Genomic DNA, 24,583 nt, shown 5'->3' with positions numbered 1-24,583 from the left:
GAATGAGCTCCATGGCCTACTTAGTTGCAACAAAAATAGTTAAGAATGATGTAATATAAAGGCATGTACGTTATGCCTCTCCTTATATACATGATCATATATACTTATAATGCATCAACTATTTCTGGAGGGATACACCAAAAAAAAAAAAAAAAAAAAGTAGCTGATTTTAGAAGGGTGAAGGGAACACCTACAGTGGTGGAGACTTTGCTGTATGCTGTATTAACTGTATTTGTTATCATGTGTAAATATCATTTTTAAAATAAAAACACTAGTTTTTACAAAGTACATGCAAGGGACCAAACTGGCTAAATGGATTACCCCATTTGGCCACTGAGGTAAACTCTAAAATTATATCTTACTCTCCCAGGGCAGAGTACCAATTGCTTCAAGAACAGAATAAGGTGGAGAAAATGATTTTTCATTACTACTTCTAGAAACTATTTATTTAATATGTGAGTGCCATTTAGGAATGACTGGAAGGAACTAAAATCATGACTGGTGTGTTTTCCTGCCTTTTCCCCCTTCTTATTGCAACTGAAGTTTCATCTTTCAAAGAAGAAAAAAATGACATTAATAAGTTAATACAATTTTGAAGAAGTAAGAAGAAGGAATTTTCTGTTCTTTTAGGGCTGTCTCCACATGGACCCTACTCAAAGGCTGACATGTGAACAGCTGTTGCATCACCCATATTTTGAAAACATCAGAGAAATAGAGGATTTGGCAAAAGAACACAACAAACCAACAAGGAAGACCCTAAGAAAGAGCCGAAAGCACCACTGCTTTACAGAAACATCCAAGGTTATAATTTGAAATGATCTCCTACCTGCCACCTGGTACAGAGAGTTGGAATCTAGACTTGAGGATGGCAGTTGTGGCTTTCAGCTCCAGCATCCTCATTCCAGCACTAGGAGACAGGTCATAGGATCTATCAACCAGGGCCCCAGGGACATCTGTCTCCTGAAGCCCCCTCTCCCTGAATCCTAAAGGTGCCCTTGTCCTGCTGCTTCCTGATGCCACACAGGGGCCAGGGTTTCCAGCCTGCATGAGCACAGGTCTCAACAAGGTACATGAGTATGAGTCCAGCTAAGGAGACTTTTTGGGCTTTGGAAAATGAAATCAGATTTTCCCCATGCAGTTCTGTGTCATCATGTACACTTTTAGTATTAAAACTAACACTCCAGGTTTGTCCAAAAAAGGAGCTGTTTTCCTCCCTGATCCTTTGTCAGAGTTGGCTAGGGCAAATACAGTGATGAGTGCTTTTGGTGGTATCAGCTGAATACATTTAACCAGAGAACAGCATCCAAACTGCACACTGGGAGACTGTGAAGAATCCTGATTGGTATAAAATGGCCTTACATTAAGCATCTTGTGATAAGCCAAAAGCTGTAATAATTTAGAATGAACTGTAGTTGGAACCACAACTGATCCTGGGTAACCTCAGGATCTACCTAGGTACTCCTTAAGCTATACATTATCTTGCCTTAGTCTTTCTCTTTGCAGCTTCCACTGCCCAGCATGCTGAATGGTACCAGGGTGTGTTGTGTATGAGGCTGGGAGGAGGGAAAAGGGTGAAAAAGGTCCATGAGGAACAAGTACAGCATGAACTCCAGGGCCCTAATGTAGATCACAGTTACAAAATTAATGTTTTATTCTCCATCATATGTGACCCAGGTAGCACAACAGGCCAGAAACAGACTCCTCCACCCCCACGCCAGAATTATTCCTTATCTCAGTATTAGTTTGTATTCGAGAGCAAAAGGTTTTGATGGAAATATTTCTATTTGAAAAAATAGGGAAACTCCACTATTTGGTGTATTGATTTTTTTTGAGACTGAGTCTCACTCTGTCGCTCAGGCTAGAGTGCAGTGGTATGATCTTGGCTCACTGCAACCTCTGCCTCCCAGGTTCAAGTGAGTCTCCTGCCTCAGCCTCCCCAGTAGCTGGGATTACAGGCATGTGCCAGTATGCCTAACTAATTTCTATATTTTTAGTAGAGACAGGGTTTCGCCATGTTGGCAGGCTGGTCTCGACTCCTGACCTCAGGTGATCCATCCGCCTTGGCCTCCCAAAGTGCTGGGATTACAGGCATGAGCCACCGCACCTGGCCTGGTGTACTGCTTTTAAATCCTGAAAGAATCAACTGATTTAAAAGTACTAAAAAGCACTTTTCTGAGGACAATGGCTGAAAAATTTTTTTCTAGAAAGTAAAAGTACTAAACAGTTCCCTTTTTAGGGATACCGAAGGACATATAGTGCAATACAAAAAATACAGGTGTGTTCTTTCATTTGACATTGACAATAAATTCAAACATTTTCAGGAAGCTTGAAGGAAGCAGTTTGTCTTTTTTCTTTAGAGATGGGGATCTTGCTATGTTGCCCAGGCTGCTCTCCTGGGCTCAAGGGATGCTCCCACTCAGCCTCCCTTGTAGCTGGAACTACAAGTGTACACTGTGCCATGCTTGATTTGCCTTTTTAACTAAGGGAAGAGAGTGAGTAGGCAAATTGCCTAGGTGCTCTGTTTATCAGTTTTCTCCGCTATAAGACAAGGCATTGGCTTAAATGATCCCTAAGATCTCAGCAAGCTCTCAACTCCTGTAAATCTATGTTTTCTTCCCAATAATGTTAACATGTAGATTTTCCCCTTTTCATATTCTCTAAATCTTCTTTAATGTGAATGTTTTTCCTTTTTAATATAAACATTTAAAAGGAAAAGCCAAGACGAAATTGAAACATTTAATCCTCTCTCAAGTCCTGGATTGTGTGCAAAAAAAGTACTTCTATACTAAAAAGCTTAATTACCTCTTTTGTGATATATTCTAAATAATGAAAAAAATGCATGGCACAGTTTTGAACCTAATTCTGTGTTTTGCATTTTTAGTTGCAGTACCTACCCCAGCTAACTGGCAGCAGCATCCTTCCAGCTTTGGATAATAAGAAGTACTACTGTGATACCAAGAAACTTAACTACCGTTTTCCAAACATTTAAAGGAGCTAGGAGACATGATTTTAAAAAAGGAATCAATAGATGCTTTGAAGAAAATAAAACTTATACAGTTGATTGAAAACAATTACAATGTTGAAAACACACCAGGAGAAAACATAAGCAAGAAACTGGGAGGCCAACTGGCAAGATATGAAGGGAAATTCCAGATCCAGTCTTCCATGCTTGATGATGGTGTCCAGAAAAGAAAAAACCTGTTTGGAGTTGCACTTGTATTTCAGTTTATGTAAGTAGCCGAACTTATGGACAGAATATGAACTGTCCCATACCTCTGGCAAAACTAGATGATATCAAAAAGATTTATGCTTCAGTTGTACCACATGCCACACAAGAAAAATGAACCACAAAATGCCCATATATATTTCCTCGGATCTCTGTTGCCTGAGTCCTATCTCCTGCCTCTCAGATTGTTTCAGCATCATATTTAAGATAGTTCTATTTCTTGAAATCAAAATGTTTAAAATCCCATTTCCTGCTTGCTCTATTTCTTGATTTTTATATTTTAAAACATTTTGAGGGTAACACTTAGGTTCAAAATATTTAAAAGCATATGAATTATCACAAAAGCTTGGTAATTTATAATTTAATTATATGTTTCCACATTTCATCCTTACTTTATCAGTAAAGGATACACCTTAGTCACTTTTGCAGGCAACGTGGATTTACTGTAATCTGTCTACATTTATTCACCCAATTCCCCTTGTAAACAATGGCATGAAGCTCGGCAGCTGATTAAGGCAGTCAAAGGGTAGAGCAAGACCTACAGGCTTTGCAGGAACTGAACCTATCAGCCTGAAAATAATTAGTATTTCATTCTCTCTGGCACAGCCTTTGACCTGGTACATCTATAGGCAAACCTGTAATTCAGTGATCTGGGTTTCAGAAGAAATTACTTGTGAGCTTTTACTTGAGTCATGAAAGACATTATGTTGTAAACTGATGTTTTCCCTGAAACATCTTTTTGCACTATGTTTGTATGTGTATGTATGTGTATGTATATATATATATATATATATATATATGCTATTCTAACAACTAATATATTACACTAAGTAGTCCAAAGTATTGAGGACTCATAGCTTTGCACAGTGAGACTTAAAATGATGACACACACACACATATATATATATGTGTTTTTTATATATATATATAAAACCTGCCACCTCAGCCTCCCAAGTAGCTGGGACTGCAGGCATGTGCCACTATACTGGCTAATTTTTTTGTATTTTTTGGTAGAGGCAGGGTTTTGCCATGTTCCCCAGGCTGGTCTTGAACTCCTGGGCTCACGTGATCTGAGCGCCTTGGCCTTCCAAAGTGCTGGCATTACAGGCATGAGCCACTGCGCCTGGCCAAAATGACATAATTAGCTTTGATTTGGTCTACTGCTCTTAATCAAAAAGCTTTTTCATCCTTGTCCCCTGGACACAAGGGCAATATGAAGCCTGACGTCTGTTTCTTACAGCTCAACACCATTTCTGGTTGATGTGCTGCCACTATTCCTAGCACTTCTCAGCCATGGTCTTCAAAGTTGTATTTCACTCTATTTTCAAAACATTTCTTCTGTACTCTCATTTTCTTCCTGTTAATTTTCTTCATGATGACATCTGACCCCATTTACTTAAGTAATCCACTGAGGTCTGGTGTCTACTCAATAATTTTGACTACCCTAGGCAGTTTAATGATATCCTAAGGCTTCCTAATGTATGTCTTTTCTTGCCTAGACCTGATATGGGTTAAATGCTAGTCCCTGAATTATTCAATTCCTGTTAGACGGCCTTGATTCAAATGACAAGGAAGAACATCCAGCTTCCGTGAATAGTTAAAAAAAAATTTTTTTTTCCTTAACCCAAGAAAATACACTTGACGGAGGCAGATTACTATAACAGCCTAATAATTCAGCCAATAGTTTTACCAAAAACTATTCAGAATAGAAAAGTAGCTCTAGACTAAATCGTGGTGAATCAGTTGTCTCACCATACAGTAATGAAACAAACCTGAGAAAAAAGGCTTATTTTTTTCTAATGAGTTCCGTTAAATTTATGCTTATGTTCAATTTAACCATATTTATAATGCTTTTATTCGGTATGAAATCTCCACTGTATCACATGAGACTCTTCCACATCCTTTTATTTACTATTTTCTGATTTTTAAAATGACAGTGGCAATTACCATTTATACTGTGTTATTTGTATAAGCTGTTAAACACAACATTGTTAAACACAACGAAAATTCATTTTTCTACCTGAAAGCTGTATCATAGAAAATTATTTTCAAGTTTATATTCAACAGCTTAATAATGTTCAAACCAGGCTGGGCGCGGTGGCTCCCAGCACTTTGGGAGGCCGAGGCGGGTGGATCCTGAGGTTAGGAGTTCAAGACCAGTCTGGCCAAGATGGTGAAACCCTGTCTCTACTAAAAGTACAAAAATTAGCTGGGCGTGGTGGTGGGCGCCTGTAATCCCAGCTACCTGGGACGCTGCGACAGAGAACTGCTTGAACCCGGGAGGCAGAGGTTGCAGTGAACTGAGATCACACCACTGCACTCCAACCTGGGCAACAGAGTGAGAGTCTGTCTCAAAAAAAAAAAAAAAAAAAAAAAAGTTCAAATCAAACACACAGAAATCTATAAACAAACTGGCATATAAGAGTAATAGAATCAGGGCCATTTCTCACAGGTAACAATGAAGACCTGTTTTATCTATTTTTCACTTTTTTTTTTTTTTTTGAGACAGGGTCTTAATCTGTTGCCCAGGCTGGAGTGCAGTGGTGCCAACATGGCTCACTGCAGCCTCGACTTCCCGGGCTCAACTGATCCTCCTACCTCAGACTCCTGAGTAGTTGGGACTACAGGCATGTGCCACTACACCCAGCTATTTTTTATTTTTTAATTTTTTGGTAGAGACAGGGTTTTGCCATGTTGCCCAGGCTCGTCCTGAACTCCTGGGCTCAAATGATCTGCCTGCCTTGGCCTTCAAAAGTGCTGGGATTACAGGCCAGCCCTTTTTTTTAAGAGACAGGGTCTCCCCCTTTCACCCAGGCTACCAGGCTGGTGTGCAGTGGCCGTGATCATAGCTTACTGCAGCCTCAAACTCCTGAGCTCAAGCAATCCTACCACCTCAACCTCCCAAGTATCTGAGATTACAGGTATGCACCACCATGCCTGCCTAATTTTTAAAATTTTTTTAGAGATGGGGTCTCACTGTGTTGCCCAAATTGGTCTCAAACTCCTGGTCTCAAGTGATCCTCCCACCTCAGCCTCCCAAAGCACTGGGATTACAGGCACGAGCCACGGCACCCAGCCTAAAGCAATGTTAGGTTTCAAGAAAAACCTAAGCATAGCCCACTAGTTTTTACTGTTTCCTTTATTATATTGCAATCTGCAAAACTATTTGTATTCAGCCAAGTATCTATGTCCAGTTTTAATAAAATAGTAGCCTAAGCTTACAAAATAGACAAATTAAGCAGCAACTGTTGATTCTGAGTAAGTCTGTATGCTATCAAGAACACAAGAATGCAGGATCATGGGAAATGCACGCAAATCCTGTTGAAGCAATGCATGCTTCAACAACCACTGACCACTTTGCATAATTGACTCCATCAATGAATCTGTAATTTAGCTTCTAATTTTTCATAATTGTGCATTTATGGTAGTATGCTTCACTAACTTTAAAGTTAAATGTAAATTACTGTTATAATAAAAACATCTGTTGTACAAATAACTTTAAAGGATTCTAAATATCTACATCAAGAGATATCTATAGATTTACATATTAAATGAATATATTAGAATTAAAATGTTACCTAGTTTACATTTTTCTTTTTTTTTTTTTTTTGAGACAGTCTCGCTCTGTCACCCAGGCTGGAGTGCAGTGGCACAATCTCGGGTCCCTGCAACCTCCACCTCCCAAGTCAAGTGATTCTCCTGCCTCAGCCTCCAGAGTAGCTGGGATTAAAGGCGTGCACCACCACATTCAGCTAATTTTGTTTTTTTAGTAGAGATGGGGTTTCACCATGTTGGCCATGGTTGGTCTTGAACTCCTGACCTCAGGTGATCTGCCCGCTTTGGCCTCCCAAAGTGCTAGGATTACAGGCATGAGCCACTGCGCCTGGCTGCACTTTTCTTAAAATGAATTAATGTTCATAAATTCTCACTTCCAACTTAGTAACATTAATGAGCCACGTCTGAATATTTATTTTCTACATATGATGCACTCTCCACTTCTAAAATGTCATGATATGGCATCCTTATAATTCTACTGATGACTATATAATATTAGTTGATGTTTGGAATCAACAGTTTCAAATGATCCTTTATACTGAAATAAGACACATTATTTTACTTCAATTGTAATTTTAGTTCCAGAGAAGGCAGTGCTGTCTTAAAGGCTTGGACAAGATTTTCTTTTTCTCTTACTCCAGGAAGATCACTTAACAACAAATATTTGAGGTTTCTGCAAATAAAGAAAAAAGTCACTTCAATTTGGCCAAGAGCATTAAAAATAAATTCAATTTACTGACTTAAAGAAAGAAAATTATGTAGAAAATGAATCTATATCACCCTATGCCTTCAAAATTACTTTTAGAGCAGTAGCCTTAGAGATGAAATTCATGCCAGGAAGTAACACAGACTTTGGGTTACATCAATATTTCTAGCTGAATCATTCTAAATAAAATATATATTTATAATGATGTAGATATTCTTTGCATGTGAAACATGAAATGTGAATCTCAACCCCAAAAGGGCAAAAGCTGGGAAAATTCTTAGATACTAGAGTTTCTACTAAAAGATGAAGCTTTGAAGCTTCAAGTAATGTAAGAGATGAACAATCTAGTACTTTTGGTCCTAATGTTTAAAATTTCTTAAACTTCCTGTGATACTGAGGTTACTGGCAGATCCATTATATATTAAAGCAGAACTACATTAATTAGATACATAATTTGAATGTTGAGATCTCTAACACAGGGATTTGATTAAACAAACTTCTAGGCCGGGCACGGTGGCTCACGCCTGTAATCCCAGCACTTTGGGAGGCCGAGGCGGGCGGATCATGAGTTCAGGAGTTCGAGACCAGCTTGGCCAACATGGCGAAACCCCATCTCTACTGAAAATACAAACATTAGCCGGGCGTGGTGGTGCACGCCTTTAATCCCAGCTACTCAGGAGGCTGAGGCAGGAGAATCGCTTGAACCCAGGAAGCGGAAGTTGTAGTGAGCCAAGATCATGCCACTGCACTCCAACCTGGGCAACAAAAGCAAGACTCCGTCTCAAAAAAACAAACAAACAAAAAAACTTCTATTCTTTTTTCATCACGCCGATGAGACTCAGAATCTTACAAATTTTAGAATTAAACATTCCTTGCTAGTATTATCTGTTTTTGCATTTGGGATTAGGTGACTTGCTCCAGGCCATGGCGTGGGTCTGGTTGGTGGCACAAGAGGATGTAGAACAGCTTTCCTAACCAGTGGATGCATGCTTTTGATGATTATTACAGTGTCAGGCAGTGTTCTAGGCTCTAGAGACAGAAAGGTGAATATTTCAAGGTTTTTCTCCCCTCAAGCAAAATAATTACACAGTAAAATGCTAATAGGTATATACCAAATGTCTTGAAAATATTAAAACCATAGGAGAAACTGCTTTAAAAAAAAAGGAGAGAAAGCATAATCGTTGATGCTTACTGAGGGCTTACTGTGGCAGGCACCATGCTAGGTGCTTAATGTAGATTTAATTTTTTAAAATATACTCTATAAAAAATTCAATACAACATTAATGTATTAAGGTTGATCATTTTAGCTGTTTTAAAATATTACAGATGAAAGTGAGGTCATTTTTTAAAATTATCTTTTTTAGAACTAAAAAAAGACACCACCCCTCACAGTCAATTAAATTCTAACTATTCACCTTAACAGCATTATCAAGTTTCCACTTTGGCTTTGATCATCTACCTTAAATGACGCAAAGCAATGATGCCTTTGTCTGTGATATTCCCACAGGATATTATTTCCATTTCCAATATGGTTTTTTGTAAATTTTCAAGTTGACTAAGTCTCAGCAAACAGTCATCCTCGATATAATGACACTTGCACAGCCTTATTTTTTCAACATGCTCTAGGCCCTCTGGGGAGAAAAAGTACAGATTAAGAATCTGCTTTACCACTAAGATGACAAACTGTCCTGGTTTGCCCACGACTGACTTGGTTTTAGGACTGAAAGTCCTATGTCCTGGGAAACCTCTTAGTTCCATGAAAACTGGAATGACTGCTCACCCTATTAACCATATAAGGAATTCACTATAGAGCTTGTGCTGATGGACAGGACCATTCCGCAGTCAGATGCCCACACACTGGAGGAAAGAAATGCCCACATAGGGCCAGGCCCAGTGGCTCACACCTGTAATCCCAGCACTTTGGGAGGCTGAGGCGGGTGGATCACCTGAGGTCGGGAATTCAAGACCAGCCTGGTCAACACGGCAAAACCTTGTCTCTACTAAAAATAGAAAAATTACCCTGGCGTGGTAGTGCACACCTGTAGTCCCAGCTACTTGGGAGGCTGAGGCAGGAGAATCACTTGAACCCAGGAGGTAGAGGTTGCAGTGAGCCAAGATCACGCCACTGCACTCTAGCCTTGGTGACAGAGTGAGACTCTGTCTCAAAAAAAAAAAAAAAAAAAAAGAGGCCGGGTGCAGTGGCTCACACCTGTAATCCCAGCACTTTGGGAGGCCGAGGCAGGCGGATCATGAGGTCAGGAGATCGAGACCATCCTGGCTAACACGGTGAAACCCCATCTCTACTAAAAATACAAAAACAAAATTAGCCGGGCATGGTGGCGGGCGCCTATAGTCCCAGCTACTCAGGAGGCTGAGGCAGGAGAATGGCGTGAACCTGGGAGGCAGAGCTTGCAGTGAGCTGAGATCGCGCCACTGCACTCCAGCCTAGGCGACAGAGCAAGACTCTGTCTCAAAAAAAAAAAAAAGAAAGAAAGAAAAAAAAATGCCCACGTAAGCAGAAGCTGTGTGGATATAATTATTCCTGCATTATTGAGGGCTTCTCAATGACAGAAGTTTGACAAAGATAGTTTGACAAACAAGGCCCTGGATTTTAAGTCAATAAACCAAAGACTAGAGACATACAGAAACAAGCTTAGTGAGAGGAGGAAGGAGAGGAAGGTGTCTGTAACCTCAATTTAATTTGAAAATAAATATCAAACACAGGAAGAAACAAACTTGACTATAATGAAATGGGCAAAAAGGACATACCTATGACTATAATCGTGAGTCAACTGCAACAAAATGGTCACTGCAAATCATCTGCATTTTCTATTAGCAAAACGATAGGGTAGTTACCCATGTGATCAAATCCAATGCTCATGATACAAGAGTCGGTGGCGTCGATCGCCTGAATCTTGTATTTGTCCAGAGGGCCTGTTGGAAGGTGGTTGTAGTCCTTCTGCCACCTCTCCTGGCCATGGTAGCGCACCATGGCCCCACAGCGCAGCAACCACTCGGATGCCGCCCTGTCAGGGCCAACATCCCTGATGCGATCATAATCCACCCTGTTGGCAAGAGAAAAAAAGCAGTTTGCTTTTACAATAATCACTAGCTTGTTAACTATATTAACTGACATAAATAATACAGAACGCAACAAATTTTCATTTCAAGTGACTGACGAGGAAGATAAATTAGTGAGATCCATGCAAAAAAAACAAAAACAAAAACAAAAAAACCTGCAGTCTATCTGCTGACTTTTTTAGTTTTGTTTTTGTTTCCACGTGAACGCTGTCAAGGCGTATTATTTTTATATGAATTTATCAGACACAACGTTTCATTGATTCACATATAGTACAGTGCTTGACACCAGAGATACTTAGTAACTATTCTACGAATGACTATACTTGGTTAGAATTTGTATTAATAACAAAAGATTAAAGAGAAAATAATTCTGAATCTGTGGTCAAATTAATCTCATTAAGTGATATTTATTAATTTCTACATATGCTTTTTTCTCTAGCTAGTGATCATAATGCTGTATTAAGTAATTAGAAGGTTAGTTTCAAGTTTCAAAATGACATTTCTAAGTGTGCCACCCACTAATTTTTTGAAAACCCAAGTTACTTTGATAGAATTCAAAAGGTTAACTACATTCCTTTAAAAAGCCATAAAAATAAAATACTTTAAAATTATATTTAATAAGTTTTTCTGATTATAAAATGTTTTAGAAAACTTGAAATATATCAAAAGGACAAGTAAGAAAAATCATCGAAATCCTGCAACCCAAACAGCCACAATTAATATTTTGTAATCTGTTTTTCTGGTGTTTTTTCCATGTTTGTGTGGGTTTTGTTTGTTTGTAAACAAAATTAGGATCACACTGCACAAACTGTAAATATGAGAAATAGCCAAACAAGCTATTGGGAACTTATTTAGCTGTAACCATCTCCACATTTCTTCACTTTATTTAGAGTAACTTACTTATTAAACACTGCATTCAACCAGCCCCAGAAGTATCTGGAGTCACATGACCATGGGAGTTTCTTTACGCCACACAACTGCTGGGAAATTTTTCCAAACGGCATCATTTGATCTAGACACACAAAACAGTACTTACATTAGATCATCATCCGAGTCCCATACATATAGCAACTTACTTCAGAGTCAATGCTCTTGTACTGATAAAGCTGATGACTCACTTGCCACTCAACAATTACTGAGCAAGTCACTCCTGTTTCTTGTTCTTGGGGTTTTTTATTTGTTTGCTGCAAAAAAATGAGGGGTTGGACTGGATGGTGTCTAAGGCTCCTTCCGGCTAGAACGTTAAGTTCCACTGTTGAAACCTCAATTGGAGTCTGCCTGTCGTACTGCCATCTAGTGTCCATTCAGGCGCTGTAGCTATGAATTTGCTGAAGCTGGCTCCTCTATTCCCCATCTATATTTCCAGCATCAAAATGACAGACTAAAATCACCGAAAGAGCAACGTGTCAAGGTTAAGATGCTTGCATCCAGGAAAGAAGAGGAGACATGAAAATAGATCTACCTATGACAAGGCTGCAAGTGGTGTTACCAGAGCAGTGTAAACAAAAAAACTGTTTTAAGGGCAGCTGGGAAAGACTGGGCAAGTAACTTCACCTCTCTGACCTCTGGTTTTCTCATTTGTAAAATGAGATGATTTGCTTAATTTCCAGCTGTCAAAATGTATAACCATAATTTGAGAAAGTGATTCCTGGAGTAGGTTTCGATTTGATTGACCTCAATTCAAGTTTCCCTAGTAGTATGCTAGGTGTGTGCAGGGGACTGGATGTGGCAGGGAGGAGGAGATGGGGAGACAAAGATAAATGAAACATGGTGTTTGCTTTGAGCATCTGACAATTTAATGCAGGATGGAGTGGGCTAAGACACGTTATCAAGTAGTTAAAATAAGTGACAGAACTTGATAAATGCCTCAAAAGAGTTAAAATAAGGACAGAAAGGATTTCAACAAACAAAGGTGCCAGGAAAAATTATGCCAGATTATTAGCTGAAGCAGGAACATTTAAGGCATGTTATTTTCAGTTTCACTAGCACATGTGAGTCATGAGAAGAGGCAGGCAACTTGCACAGTCAGGTCGTGAAGTGTTTTGCATGCTCAGCCAGGGAATTTGGACTGTATTCTGTATGTAGCAGGGAGTCACCGAGGTTTCTGAACAAAGCACTGGCCCTTTGGGAGGCCGAGGCAGGCAGATCACGAGGTCAGGATATCGAGACGATCCTGGCTAACACGGTGAAACTCTGTCTCTACTAAAAATACCAAAAAATAAAAAAATAAAAAATTAGCCAGGCATGGTGGCATGCGCCTGTAGTCCCAGCTACTCGGGAGGCTGAGGCAGGAGAATCGCTTGAACCCGGGAGGCAGAGATTGCAGTAAGCTGAGATTGTACCAGACTGCACTCCAGCGTGGACAACAGAGTGAGACTCCATCTCAAAAATAAATAAATAAATAAAATAGAACAAAGCATTGGCATTGTTACGGTTGTGCTTCAAGAAATTGACTCAGCAGCATCAAGATTAAGGGTCAACAGAATGGGACAGCCAGTCAGCAAGGGCTTCAATCACATGAGGCCATACGAAAGGGCCTAGTTGGGGAAGGATGGGAATGACATTACATAGTTAGTTCCATATGACTCAGTTAAGTGAGATGTAGGGGCAAGGGCTAGAGGAGTTGAAAATGACACCAAGTTTTGGCCCTGGGTCACTGGTAGTAGGATGGTGATGCCATTAAAAGAAATCACATTAGGAGAACAGGGTTATAGGTTCAGATTTTTTTCTTTTAGTTTTTCATAATCTACATACTAAGTGTTAGCAGGATTTCTAAGTGCAGATGACCAACAAATCATTGGAATCAGAGGTCACAAAACATTAGAGCTGTAAGGAATTTAGATCACCTGGATGAAATCTCTCATTTAGAGGTGAGGAAACTGAAGCCCTGATATTAAGTAACTTCCTGACATCCTAAATCCTTTCTGAAACAAGGTGGGGTATTAATAAATGCATGTGTTTAAAGGGACTTGCTCAATGTTTCATGACTAATTGGTGGCAGTGTTGAAACCTGAACCCAGTTCTCTACCAGCCCAGGGTCCTTTCCTCAATCATTACATGGTTCTGGAATTCAAGAGAAAGAAGAGGACTAGAAAGATGCCTGAGAGGGAAACACCTTAAAGCTGAGGAAGTGATTGAGGATGCTGAGGCCGTGGAACAGTGAGAGATGTGAACTGAAGACAGAACCAACTACCCTTTCATCCCTTTTTCACTACAGCCGTCTTCATTACTGCAAGCCTCTGCTCCACTACCTCTTATCATGTTCTCAACCCTTTCCAACTTTTTGTTAAAGCGCTCTCTGCCTGTGCCCACCTTGAATAACTCTATTAGTTGTCAATCTTATTTACAAATATGGGCTTTCCCAGCTTCTACTCAGGCTGTTTTCTCTTAGCCTCCCTCCCCCATCACCATCAATCTGTGGAAATCCCACCCAACCTCAAGACCTTACTCAAATGCCATGTCCATTCATTCATTCGCTCAAAAAATGTTTATTGAATGTCTGCTATACTTAGTGCAAAGGCAACAATGGTAAGACAAAACAAACAAAAACAAGAACAAAGGAGAAAGAGACACACAGAAAGACAAGGTTCCTGACCTCATAGAACATATAATTTAATAAAGAGAGATAACATATAAAGAGATAAATAACACCCAACGTGGTTGGATAATAGAGGTGTGAACAAATACCATGAGAATCTAGAGAAGGGAGTGAGAAGAAGGCCTTCACACTAGAGGTGTCTTTTGAAATGGGTCTTAATGATTAAGAGTTTTCAGTTAGTCTAGAAGCAGAAGCAGAATATGAAAAAAAAAATTCCAGTTAGAACGAAAAAAGAGTATGCAAAGTAAAAGAACAAGGATGGCATCTTATTCATTTCCATTTTTCTCAGCATAATGCAAAAGTTTAATAAATATTTGTTTATTAATAGTCTTCAACGGTTGACATGTTTCCATGGAGAAAGGTAAAACCAGTTAAACTGTTATTAAGCAGGTGAATTAGAGTGGTCTTTGAAAACTGAATATTTTTGCTTGATTCATTTTGGCCCATCTTATAATTTAGCTTAAACGAAAGGCCAAATTTACTTAGGCTGTAATCTCTAAAAACACAAGATATTAGATTTAAAATGTTTTAAACATAAAAATTAAATTTATATTTGGCAATAGAGGTAACAAAAATTGGTAGGTTTTTACATTTCAACTGCAACTTTGCTAATGATTTTGCAAATTATTCCTACTTGAGTCCAAACAGTTGCCTTTGGGAACGCTTTCTATAGGGAAAGAGGAGACCTCTAGTGGGAAGTTAGTGAATCTAGCTCTAATAAATTAAAAGAACCCAGTTAAACGCAAATTAGAAAATAACCACTACTAAATTACTGCTGCCATAGATAATCCACCATGATTGAGTTTCATACAGGGATGCACAAATGGCTTAACATACACAAGTCAATAAATGTTATATGCCACATAAACACAATTAAAAACAAAAATCACATGATCATCTCAATAGATGCAGAAAAAGCATTTGACAAAATCCAGCATCCCTTTGTGATTAAAATCCTCCGCAAAATTGGCATACAAGGGACATACCTCAAAGTAATAAATGCCATCTATGACAAACCCACAGCCAACATAATATGAACGGGGAAAGTTTAAAGCATTCCCTCCAAGAATTGGAACAAGATAAGGATGCCGACTCTCACCACCACCACCCCCCTTTTTTTTTTTTGGAGATAGTGTTTCACTCTTGTTGCCCAGACTGGAGTGCAATGGCATGACCTCAGCTCACTGCAACCTCTGCCTCCTGGGTTCAAGCGATTGTCCTGCCTCAGCCTTCCAAGTAGCTGGGATTACAGGCGCCCACCACCACGTCCGGCTAATTTTTTGTATTTTTAGTAGAGATGGGGTTTCACCATGTTGGCCAGGCTGGTCTTGAACTCCTGACCTCAGGTGATCCACCCGCCTTGGCCTCCCAAAGTGCTGGGATTACAGGCATAAGCCACGGCACCCAGCCCCACTCTCATCACTTCTATTCAACATAGTACTGGAAGTTCTAGCTAGAGCAATCAGACAAGAGAAAGAAATAAAAGGCATCCAAATCGGTAAAGAGGAAGTCAAACTTGCTATTTGCTAATGATATGATTGTATGCCTAGAAAACCCTAAAGACTCCTCCAAAAAGCTCCTAGAACCAATAAATGAATTCAGCAAAGTTTCAGAATACAAAATTAATGACATAATTAGTACCTTTAGTATACACCAACAGTGACCAAGCTGAGAATCAAACCAAGAACTCAACCCCTTTTATAATAGCCACACACACAAAAAAAACTTAGGAATATGCCTAACCAAGGAGGTGAATGACCTCTAAAAGGAAAACTACAAAACACTGCTGAAAGAAATAACAGATGACATAAACAAATGGAAACACATCCCATGCTCATGGATGGATAGAGTCAACATTGTGAAAATGATCATACTGCCAAAAGCAATCTACAAATTGCTTCAAGTTCATTGCAGATTCTGGATATTAGTCTTCCCATCAATACAATTCCCATAAAAATACCATCATTCTTCAGAGAACTAGAAAAAACAATCCTAAAATTCATATAGAACCAAAAAAGAGCCCACATAGCCAAAGCAAGACTAAGCAAAAAGATAAATCTGGAGGCACAACATTACCTGATTTCAAACTATACCATAAGGCCATAGTCACCAAAACAGCATGGTACTGGTATAAAAATAGGCACATACACCAATGGAACAAAACAGAGAACCTAGAAAGAAACCCAAATACTTATAGCCAACTGATCTTCAACAAAACAAACAAACATATAAAGTGGGGAAAGGACATCCTATTCAACACATGGTACTAGGATAACTGGCAAGCCACATGTAGGAGAATGAAACTGGATCCTCATCTCTCACCTTATACAAAAATCAACTCAAGATGGATCAGGGACTTACATCTAAGACCTGAAACTATAAAAATTCTAGAAGATAACATCAGAAAAACCCTTCTAGACATTGGCTTAGGCAAGGGTTTCATGACCAAGAACCCAAAAGCAAATGCAATAAAAACAAAGATAAATAGTTGGGACTAAAGAGCTTTTGCGTGGCAAAAGGAACAGTCAGCAGAGTAAACAGACAACCCACATAGTGGGAGAAAATCTTCACAATCTATACATCTGACAGAAGACTAACATCTAGAATCTACAATGAACTCAAACAAATTAGCAGAAAAAAACAATCCCATCAAAAAGTGGGCTAAGGACATGAAGACAATTCTCAAAAGAAGATATATGAATGGCCAAGAAATATATGAAAAAATGCTCAACATCACTAATCATCAGGAAAATGCAAATCAAAACCACAATGTGATACCACCTTACTCCCCGCAAGAATGGCCATAATCAAAAAATTAAAAAAAAATAGATGTTGGCGTGGATATGGTGTAAAGGGAACACTTCTACACTGCTGGTGGGAATGTAAACTAGTACAACCACTATGGAAAACAGTGTGGAGATTCCTTAAATAACTAAAATTAGAACTACCATTTGATCGAGCAATTCCACTACTGGGTAGCTACCCAGAGGAAAGGAAGTCATTATACAAAAAAGATACTTGCACACGCATGTTTATAGCAGCACAATTTGCAATTGCAAAAAATGTGGAACCAACCCAAATGCCCATCAATCAATGAGTGGATAAAGAAGCTGTGGTATATATATATGATGGAATACTAGTTAGCCATAAAAGGGAATGAATTAATGGCATTCGCAGCAACCTGAATAGGATTGGAATTTATTACTCTTTTTTTTTTTTTTTTTTTTTTTTTTTGTGAAACAGAATCTTGCTCTGTCGCCAGGCTGGAGTGCAGTGGCGCAGTCTCAGCTCACTGCAACCTCCGCCTCCCAGGTTCAAGTGATTCCCCTGCCTCAGCCTCCCAAGTAGCTGGGATTACAGGCATATGCCACCACGCCCAGCTAATTTTTTGTATTTTAGTAGAGATGGGGTTTCACCATGTTGACCAAGATGGTCTCAATCTCCTGACCTCGTGATCCACCTGCCTTGGCCTCCCAAAGTGCTGGGATTACAGGCGTGAGCCACTGCACCTGGCCTGGAGTTTATTATTCTAAGTGAAGTAACTCAGGAATGGAAAACCAAACATCGTATGTTCTTACTCAAAAGTGGGAGCTAAGCTATGAGGATGCAAAGGCATAAGAATGACATAATAGGCTGGGCGCAGTGGCTCATGCCTGTAATCCCAACACTTTGGGAGGCCGAGGCGGGTGGATCACGAGGCCAGGAGATTGAGACCATCCTGGCTAACACGGTGAAACCCTGTCTCTACTAAAAATATAAAAAATTAGCCGGGCATAGTGGCAGGTGCCTATAGTCCCAGCTACTCAGGAGGCTGAAGCAGGAGAATGGTGTGAACCCGGGAGGCAGAGCTTGCAGTGAGCTGAGATCATGCCACTGCACTCCAGCCTGGGTGACAGAGCGAGACTCTGTCTCAAAAAAATAAATAAGCAAATAAATAAAAAAGAATGATACAATAGGCTGGGTGCAGTGGCTCACACCTGTAATCCCAGCACTTTGGGAGGCTGAGGCAGGCAGATCACTTGAGGTCAGGAGTTCAAGACCAGCCCGGTCAACATGGCGAAACCGCATCTCTACTAAAAATATGAGAGTTTGCCGGGCGTGGTGGCATGTGCCTATAGTCCCAGCTACTCAGGAGGCTGAGGCAGGAGAATTGCTTGAGACCAGGAGGCAGAGGCCGCAGTGAGTTGAGATTGCACCACTGCACTCCAGCCTGGGCAACAGAGCATAACCCTGTCTCAAAAATAAAAATAAAAAATAAACATGCACTTACCATATGACCCAGCAATTGTACTCTTGGGCACTTATCCTAGAGAAACAAAAACAGGTTCACACAAAAGGCTGTACACTCATGTTCACAGCTGCTTGATTCACAATAGCTAAAAACTAGAAACAACTCAAATGTCCTTCAATGAGTGAACAGTTGAATGTACTTGTATTAGTCCATTTTCACACTGCTGATAAAGACATACCCGAGACCGAGAAGAAAAAGAGGTTTAATGGACTTACAGTTCCACATGGCTGGGGAGGCCTCACAATCATGGTGGAAGGCAAGGAGGAGCAAGTCACATCTTACATGGATGGCAGCATGCAAAGAAAGAACTTGTGCAGGGAAACCTCCCGTTTTTAAAACCATCACATCTTGTGAGGCTCATTCACTATCTGGAGAACAGCACAGGAAGGACCTGCCTCCATAATTCAATCACCTCCCACCTGGTTCCTCCCACAACACATGGGAATGGTGAGTTACAATTCAAGATGAGATTTGGGTGGGGACACAGCCAAACCATATCAATACTGTAGTACATCTACATTATGGAATACCACTCAGTAATAAAAAGGAAGGAACTACTGATACATGTAACAGTTTGGATATATCTCAAGGGATTATGCTGAATGAAAAAGAGTCAATAAAAGTTACATACTGTATAATTACAATAATTACATTTATGTAACATTCTTGATATAACAAAATTTTAGAAACAGAGAATAGATTGGGTGGGGCTGCAAAGGTAAGTTGTGGTTATAAAAGGGCAACTGGAGGGACCCTTGTGGTGATGGACCTGGGCTGTACCTTGACTGTGGTGGTGGATACAAGAATCTACACACCTGATAACCATATAGAACTAAATATACACAGAGAACACTAATACAAAATGAGGAATCTGAATGAGATCAATGGATTGTGTGAATGTCAATTACCTGGTTGTGATATGGTACTAGTTTTGCAAGATGCTACCACTGGGAAGACTGGGTAAAGGGTACACAGAATCTCTATTCTTACAATTGCATGGAAATCCACAATTACCTCACAAAGTTGAATAACCATCTCTTTTTTTCATCTGTGATGGAACAAGCAGGCAATATTCTACATTGTTTTAACAAATAAAGCAAACTATGTACCACTGTTCTGGTGGTAAAACCCTTTAACCATAATAAATGTCATCACGTAGCAAATGCTTCACTGTGCTAAACACCTGCTGACCTTATCTCGTGTAATCCGCTCAACGGCCCTAAGACTAGGGAGACACTGCTATCATTCCTAGTTCACTGAGGAGGGTCTGAGGCAAAGAGGTGAAGTGATTTCCTGGAGCTACCTGACCAAAGACTGGAACCAAGATTCTTAGAGGCACACGAAGTCCTTCTGGTAATAAATCTGTATAATTCTATTTGTTATGTTCAGCTGTCCTAACCCTAAAAATTAAAAACTGCCATCAAGCATACAGAATGAGTGTTAGCAACACCGGCACAGTGACAATTTTAAAGAGTTAGAAGGTCCTTTAGAGATTACACAGCCCATCGCCCTCATTTTTACATAAAGGGAATCAGGTGAAGTGACCTGCACAGGTGAGTCGCTGCTCAGAGACCGCACAGCACATTTAAAACTGTATCTCGGTTCAGTACTCAAGAAAAGGACACAGACTTATAAATGGTGGCAAAAACCGAGCTGTCTGGTTCTTCCGGTACCCAGTGCCGGGTCGAGTACAGAGCAGGCGCTCCATATTTACAAGACGAATCAATGACTGAATGAATAGCACCGCCAGGAGCCCCATAAAAGAAGTCCAGAAGACTGCGGGCTGTCAGTCTTCGCTGTGACAAAGAGCCTCCGTGAGGAGCGAGGATTAGGGCCGGACAGGGAGCGCCCTTCTAGTGGACGCTCGACTGGGCTGGGGCCGGGATGGAGACGGTGGGTGCCCAGGCCCTCCGTCTACCGCGGGCCGCGTGCGGGGCCGAGCGAGGACCCGGCTGGAGCTGGAGCGGGGGCGGGGCGGGGGCGGGGCCGAGGGCGAGCCGGAAGAAAGAAGCCGCAGGGCCCGCCCAAACAAGAATTTTCACCGTAATCCCGCCCAGAGTTTCTCCCACGGCCCCATGTCCGCATGGCGGTGAAGGTCGAAGACGCGCGACCCAAAGGGCCAGGTTTTCAGTCAGCCCAGCGTTGGCGACGGGCGAGGGCAGAACACAACCACCACCCTAGTCCCGCCCGGCTCGGGGCCTAGCTTCTCTACTCACAGCGTCGGAGGGAGGGAGGGAGGGAGCGAGCCAGCGTCCCCGCGTCTGCGGCACCCTGGCCGGCCCTTCGCCCTCCGACGCGCGCGCCTATTGGCCACCGCAGCCTCTCCCACATGGGGCGAAGGCGCGCCACTTCATTGGCCCCCGCGTGAGGGGCGGGGCTAAAGAGCGCGGGTCCTCGGCCGTGGAGGGTCAAGTGGCTTCTTCTGAGCGCTGAGGGAGGGGAGCGTGCGTAGGGGATGGTGCCAGCGCTGCGTTATTTGGTTGGTGCCTGCGGACGGGCCCGCGGGCTTTTCGCCGGTGGCTCCCCTGGGGCGTGCGGGTTCGCGTCTGGGAGGCCAAGACCGCTGTGTGGAGGTAGCCGCAGCGCCAGCACCAGGTGAGTGGCCGCTGGTCCTCCCCGCCGCCTGCGCTGCTGCCCCTCGCGGAGGCACCTGGTGGTGGACCTGTGCCCCTGTTCGTATTTCCCTGTCCCGGGGTGAGAGCAGGTTGGGGTCCTGTGGCACTCCAACCTCGGATCCCAGGAGCTACCAACCTGCAGGTTCATTCGTTGTATTTACGGGCCGGAGGAAAGGCAGTGTATAGAGTAGAGGTCGGGAGTAGCTCTGGCTTTGAACAACCCGTCCACTTTCTGTTGAACTCTGGGCTAGTTACTTAACCTCCTTAAAGGCTCAGTTGTGAATTGGACCTTAGTCTCTCCTGTAGGTGGTCATTTGAAGGATAAAAGGACCTAGCACACAGTATAAGCAATCAAATATGCTCTTTATAAGCTGGAGTCTTTGGCGTTGCTTGGAAGATCTGAATACAGTCTTAAATCAGTTCCTGGCACACCCCGCATAGTGTTGCCCCCGTCGGAGGCAGCTCTTATGCTAATGAAAGCCCGCAGAATTCAGTGTCCTGTGATTTATAGTTTGGACGTCACATTCGAAACCATTGTCTTTCTCTGTCCTCTGTAGAAGAAACAGTTTGTGTGAAGGCTGTAAGGCTTGGAGAGGTTTTGGCTATTTTGACGACTAGAAGGTGGGCCATATGAGTGTGACTGAAGTTTAGTGGAAGACATATGGTGTGGAATGACCCAGAAGGACTACATCACAGCAAGGTTTTTAGTTTATTTTAACCACACGTTGACTTTTATTCTAAGAGCCACGGGAAGCTATTTAAAAGGGTTTTAAGAAGAGGCTACGCTTTAGGAGGCCGAGGCGGGCGGATCGCCTGAGGTCAGAAGTTGGAGACCAGCCTAACCAACATGGTGAAACCCCGTCTCTACTAAAAATACAAAAAAATTAGCCTGGCGTGGTGGTGGGCGCCTGTAATCCCAACTACTCCGGAGCCTTAGGAGAATCGCTTGAACCTGGGAGGCGGAGATTGCAGTAAGCTGAGATCGCACCATTGCACTCCAGCCTGGGCGACAGAGCAAGACTCTGTCTCGCAAAAAAAAAAAAAAAAAAAAAAAGAAAAGAAAAGAAAAAAAGAAGAGGCTAATAATTAAATGTTGATGTTCTAAAAGTTGACTCTGGCTGCTGCGTGTTGGTGGATAGGGGGAGTAGAGTGGGATACCAGTAATAGCGATTGTGATTTGTTATGGGGCATGTGGACAGTTCTTTTGGGAAGCTTTTCTTAAGGAAAGAAAAGTAGGGCTAGTGAAAGTTTTGTTTATACTTAAAATGTTTTTTTAAAAAATTTTTGGAGTCAGGGTCTCACTGTGTTGCCAAGGCTGGAGTGCAGTGGCACAATCATAGCTCACTGCAGCCTCCACCCTCCTGGGCTCAAGCGATCCTCCCTCCTCAGCCCCCCTCCCCAATGCTTCCTGTCCTCCAGGAGCTGGGACCACAGGCAGCTAATTATTTTCCTATTTTTTTGTAGAGACGTTGCCCAGGGTGGTCTCGAACCCCTGGCCTCAAGTGAACCTCCCTCTTCAGCCACCCAAAGTGCTGAGATTACAGGTGTGAGCCACCGTGCCTGGCCTATACTTTTATTTTGAAGTAATTATAGATCCATTGGAAATTGCAAAAATAGTACAGGCCAAGCGTGGTGACTCAGGCCTGTAATCCCAGTGCTTTGGGAGGCTGAGGCAGGAGGATCACTTGAGCCCAGAAGTTTGAGACCAGCCTGGGCAAAATATAAGATCCCTTCTCTACAAAATAAAAAATAAAAATAAATAAACAGTACAAAGAGATCCCATGTACCCTTCACCCCATTTACCCCAATGAAAACATCTTATATAACTATAGTACAATATCAAAACTAGGAAATTGATATTGGCAAAATCCACGGACATTGTTCAGCTTTCATCAGTTTTACATATATTCGTGTGTGTGTGTGTGTTTAGTTCTATGCAGTTTAATCATATGTATTAATTTGTGTAACTACCACCTCAATTAAGATATGAAAATGTGGCCAGGCATGCTGGCTCATGCCTATAATCTCAGCACTTTGGGAGGCCGAGGTGGGAGGATAGGTTGAGCCTCAGAGTTGGAGACCAGCCTGGGCAACAAAGGGAGACGGCAAAACCCCTGCTCTACAAAAAAATTAAAAAATAATTAGCCAGGTGTGGTGGCTTGCTCCTGTAGTCCCAGCCACTTGTGGGGCTGAGGCAGGAGGATCGCTTGAGCCCAGGAGGTTGAAGGTGTGGTGACCTGTGATTACACCGCCGCGCTGAAGCCTGGACAACAGAGCAAGACTCTCTTAAAAAAAAAAAAAAGGGTGGTATAAAAATATTCTATTGCCACAAGGTTATCTGTTGTGTTACCTATCTCTTTATATTCACACCTTCCTCTCCATTCTTCCTAACTCTTGGCAACTGTGAATCTAAATTTTTTTTTTTTTTTAACACGAAGTCTCGCTTTGTCACCCAGGCTGGAGTACAGTGGCATGATCTTGGCTCACTGCAACCTCTGTCTCCTAGGTTGAAGGGATTCTCCTGCCTCAGCCTCCTGAGTAGCTGGGATTACAGGCATGTGCCACCACGCCCAGCTGATTTTGTATTTTGAGTAGAGATAGGGTTTCACCGTGTTGGCCAGGCTGGTCTCAAACTCCTGACCTCAGGTGATCCACCCGCCTCAGCCTCCCAAAGTATTGGGATTACAGGCATGAGCCACTGCACCCGGCCTGAAATTTTTTATATCACCAAATATTCAGTATAAAACTTTTAGAAAAAGGACAAGATCTTTGGACATAGAGATGACATCAAAAGCATGATCTCTAAAAGAAAAAAATTGACAAAATGGACTTCATCAAAATGAAAAACTTTTGCTCTGCAAAAGACTGTTAAGAGAATGAAAAAACTACCAAGACGTGGGAAAAAAATACCAGCAACTGCATATCTCCCAAAGGACTAATACACAAAATACATAAAGAACTCTCAAAACAAGCCTTTGGAGATTGGCTTTTTTTCACACAGCATACTATCCTTAAGATCCATGCAAGGCGTCGCCTGTATTGATAGCAGGTTTTTCAAAATTGTTGAATAGAATTCCATGGTATGGATACATCACAATTTGTTTAACCGTTTACCATGGGTTGAAGAACATCCAAGCTGCTTCCAGTTTTTGGCTATTACGAATAAAGCTACTATGAACATTCATGTTCAGGTTTTTGTATGAACATAAGTTTCATTTCTCTGGAATAAATGCCCAAGACTGCAGTTACTGAGTCATGTAGTAAGTCCATGTTTAGTTTCTTTTTAAGAAACTGCCATACTCTTTTCCAGAGTGGCTGTACTATTTTACATTCCCACCAGCTATGTGTGAGTAATCCAGTTTCCCTTCATTCTCACCAGCATTTGGGGTGATCACTTTTTAAATTTTAGCCATTCTGATAGAGACGTAGTGATATCTCATTGTGGTTTTTATTTACATTTCTCTGATGCAATGATGTTTGAACAATGCATTGACTAATGGTGTTGAACATC

At 41.5% G+C, this 24,583-nt stretch overlaps 3 protein-coding genes across 43 annotated transcripts in view, besides 3 other annotated features; 2 read left to right on the top strand and 1 right to left on the bottom strand.

Moving 5' to 3' along the window:
• Window positions 1-6,798, top strand: part of CDKL1 (cyclin dependent kinase like 1) — a 71,034-nt gene extending 64,236 nt beyond the window's left edge. For 8 of the 16 annotated variants that reach the window (NM_001423763.1, NM_001423764.1, NM_004196.7 and 5 more), the window contains 2 exons: window positions 631-801; window positions 2,882-6,798. In NM_001423763.1, coding sequence (NP_001410692.1) covers window positions 631-801; window positions 2,882-2,989 — 279 coding nt within the window. In that variant the 3' untranslated portion in view covers window positions 2,990-6,798. Of the gene's footprint in view, window positions 1-370 lie in introns of all 16 variants that reach the window. The other 8 variants (NM_001367064.3, NM_001423767.1, NM_001367065.3 and 5 more) reach the window with 3 other exon arrangements.
• DMAC2L (distal membrane arm assembly component 2 like) lies at window positions 5,106-21,547 on the bottom strand. Of its 15 annotated transcripts, XM_047431271.1 has the most exons (7): window positions 20,003-20,739; window positions 18,437-18,472; window positions 11,687-11,752; window positions 11,469-11,580; window positions 10,344-10,552; window positions 8,947-9,118; window positions 5,106-7,454 (listed from the first exon to the last, which is right to left on the bottom strand). In XM_047431271.1, exons 4-7 carry the CDS (start codon window positions 11,573-11,575, stop codon window positions 7,340-7,342), a joined length of 603 nt encoding a protein of 200 aa, XP_047287227.1. In that variant the 5' UTR covers window positions 11,576-11,580; window positions 11,687-11,752; window positions 18,437-18,472; window positions 20,003-20,739; the 3' UTR covers window positions 5,106-7,339. The 15 variants fall into 15 exon arrangements, with proteins under 15 accessions (XP_047287227.1, NP_001357534.1, NP_001369436.1 ...); NM_001370605.1 differs by lacking the exon at window positions 11,687-11,752; NM_001382507.1 differs by lacking the exon at window positions 11,687-11,752 and having other exon boundaries at window positions 20,674-20,739.
• Window positions 11,933-11,992: an enhancer, noted in NCBI's record as "active region_8355". NCBI's record gives its function as "activates an Ori minimal core promoter by ATAC-STARR-seq in GM12878 lymphoblastoid cells {active_cell/tissue: GM12878}" and the evidence as "EXISTENCE:reporter gene assay evidence [ECO:0000049][PMID:35858748]".
• Window positions 20,355-20,584: a silencer, noted in NCBI's record as "silent region_5721". NCBI's record gives its function as "represses an Ori minimal core promoter by ATAC-STARR-seq in GM12878 lymphoblastoid cells {active_cell/tissue: GM12878}" and the evidence as "EXISTENCE:reporter gene assay evidence [ECO:0000049][PMID:35858748]".
• Window positions 20,645-20,774: a silencer, noted in NCBI's record as "silent region_5720". NCBI's record gives its function as "represses an Ori minimal core promoter by ATAC-STARR-seq in GM12878 lymphoblastoid cells {active_cell/tissue: GM12878}" and the evidence as "EXISTENCE:reporter gene assay evidence [ECO:0000049][PMID:35858748]".
• The window catches only part of L2HGDH (L-2-hydroxyglutarate dehydrogenase), a 69,796-nt gene continuing 66,046 nt past the window's right edge, over window positions 20,834-24,583 (top strand). For 6 of the 12 annotated variants that reach the window (XR_007064047.1, XR_007064046.1, NM_001425212.1 and 3 more), the window contains exon 1: window positions 20,834-21,052. Coding sequence is in view for 6 of the 12 variants with exons in the window: in NM_001425212.1 (NP_001412141.1) it covers window positions 20,913-21,052 (140 nt within the window). In the remaining 6 variants the exon portion in view is untranslated. Of the gene's footprint in view, window positions 21,053-21,107; window positions 21,773-23,727; window positions 24,333-24,583 lie in introns of those variants that run through there. The other 6 variants (NM_001425213.1, NM_001425214.1, NM_001425215.1 and 3 more) reach the window with 4 other exon arrangements.

Source organism: Homo sapiens, chromosome 14 (assembly GCF_000001405.40).
Source record: "Homo sapiens chromosome 14, GRCh38.p14 Primary Assembly".
Lineage (NCBI taxonomy): Eukaryota > Metazoa > Chordata > Mammalia > Primates > Hominidae > Homo > Homo sapiens.
The sequence above is the reverse complement of the archived record's forward strand: the minus strand, read 5'-3'. Positions and strand labels throughout refer to the sequence as shown.

Coding starts and splice junctions, on each gene's coding strand:
- DMAC2L (XM_011536652.2), bottom strand. CDS start 18,799: ATGGTTTTAAAAACGGGAGGTTTCCCTGCACAAGTTCTTTCTTTGCAT. Junction 10,553..11,468: donor TTGAATGCAGTGTTTAATAA/GTAAGTTACTCT, acceptor TCTTGCCAACAG/GGTGGATTATGATCGCATCA. Junction 7,455..8,946: donor ATTGCTTTGCGTCATTTAAG/GTAGATGATCAA, acceptor CTTTATTTGCAG/AAACCTCAAATATTTGTTGT.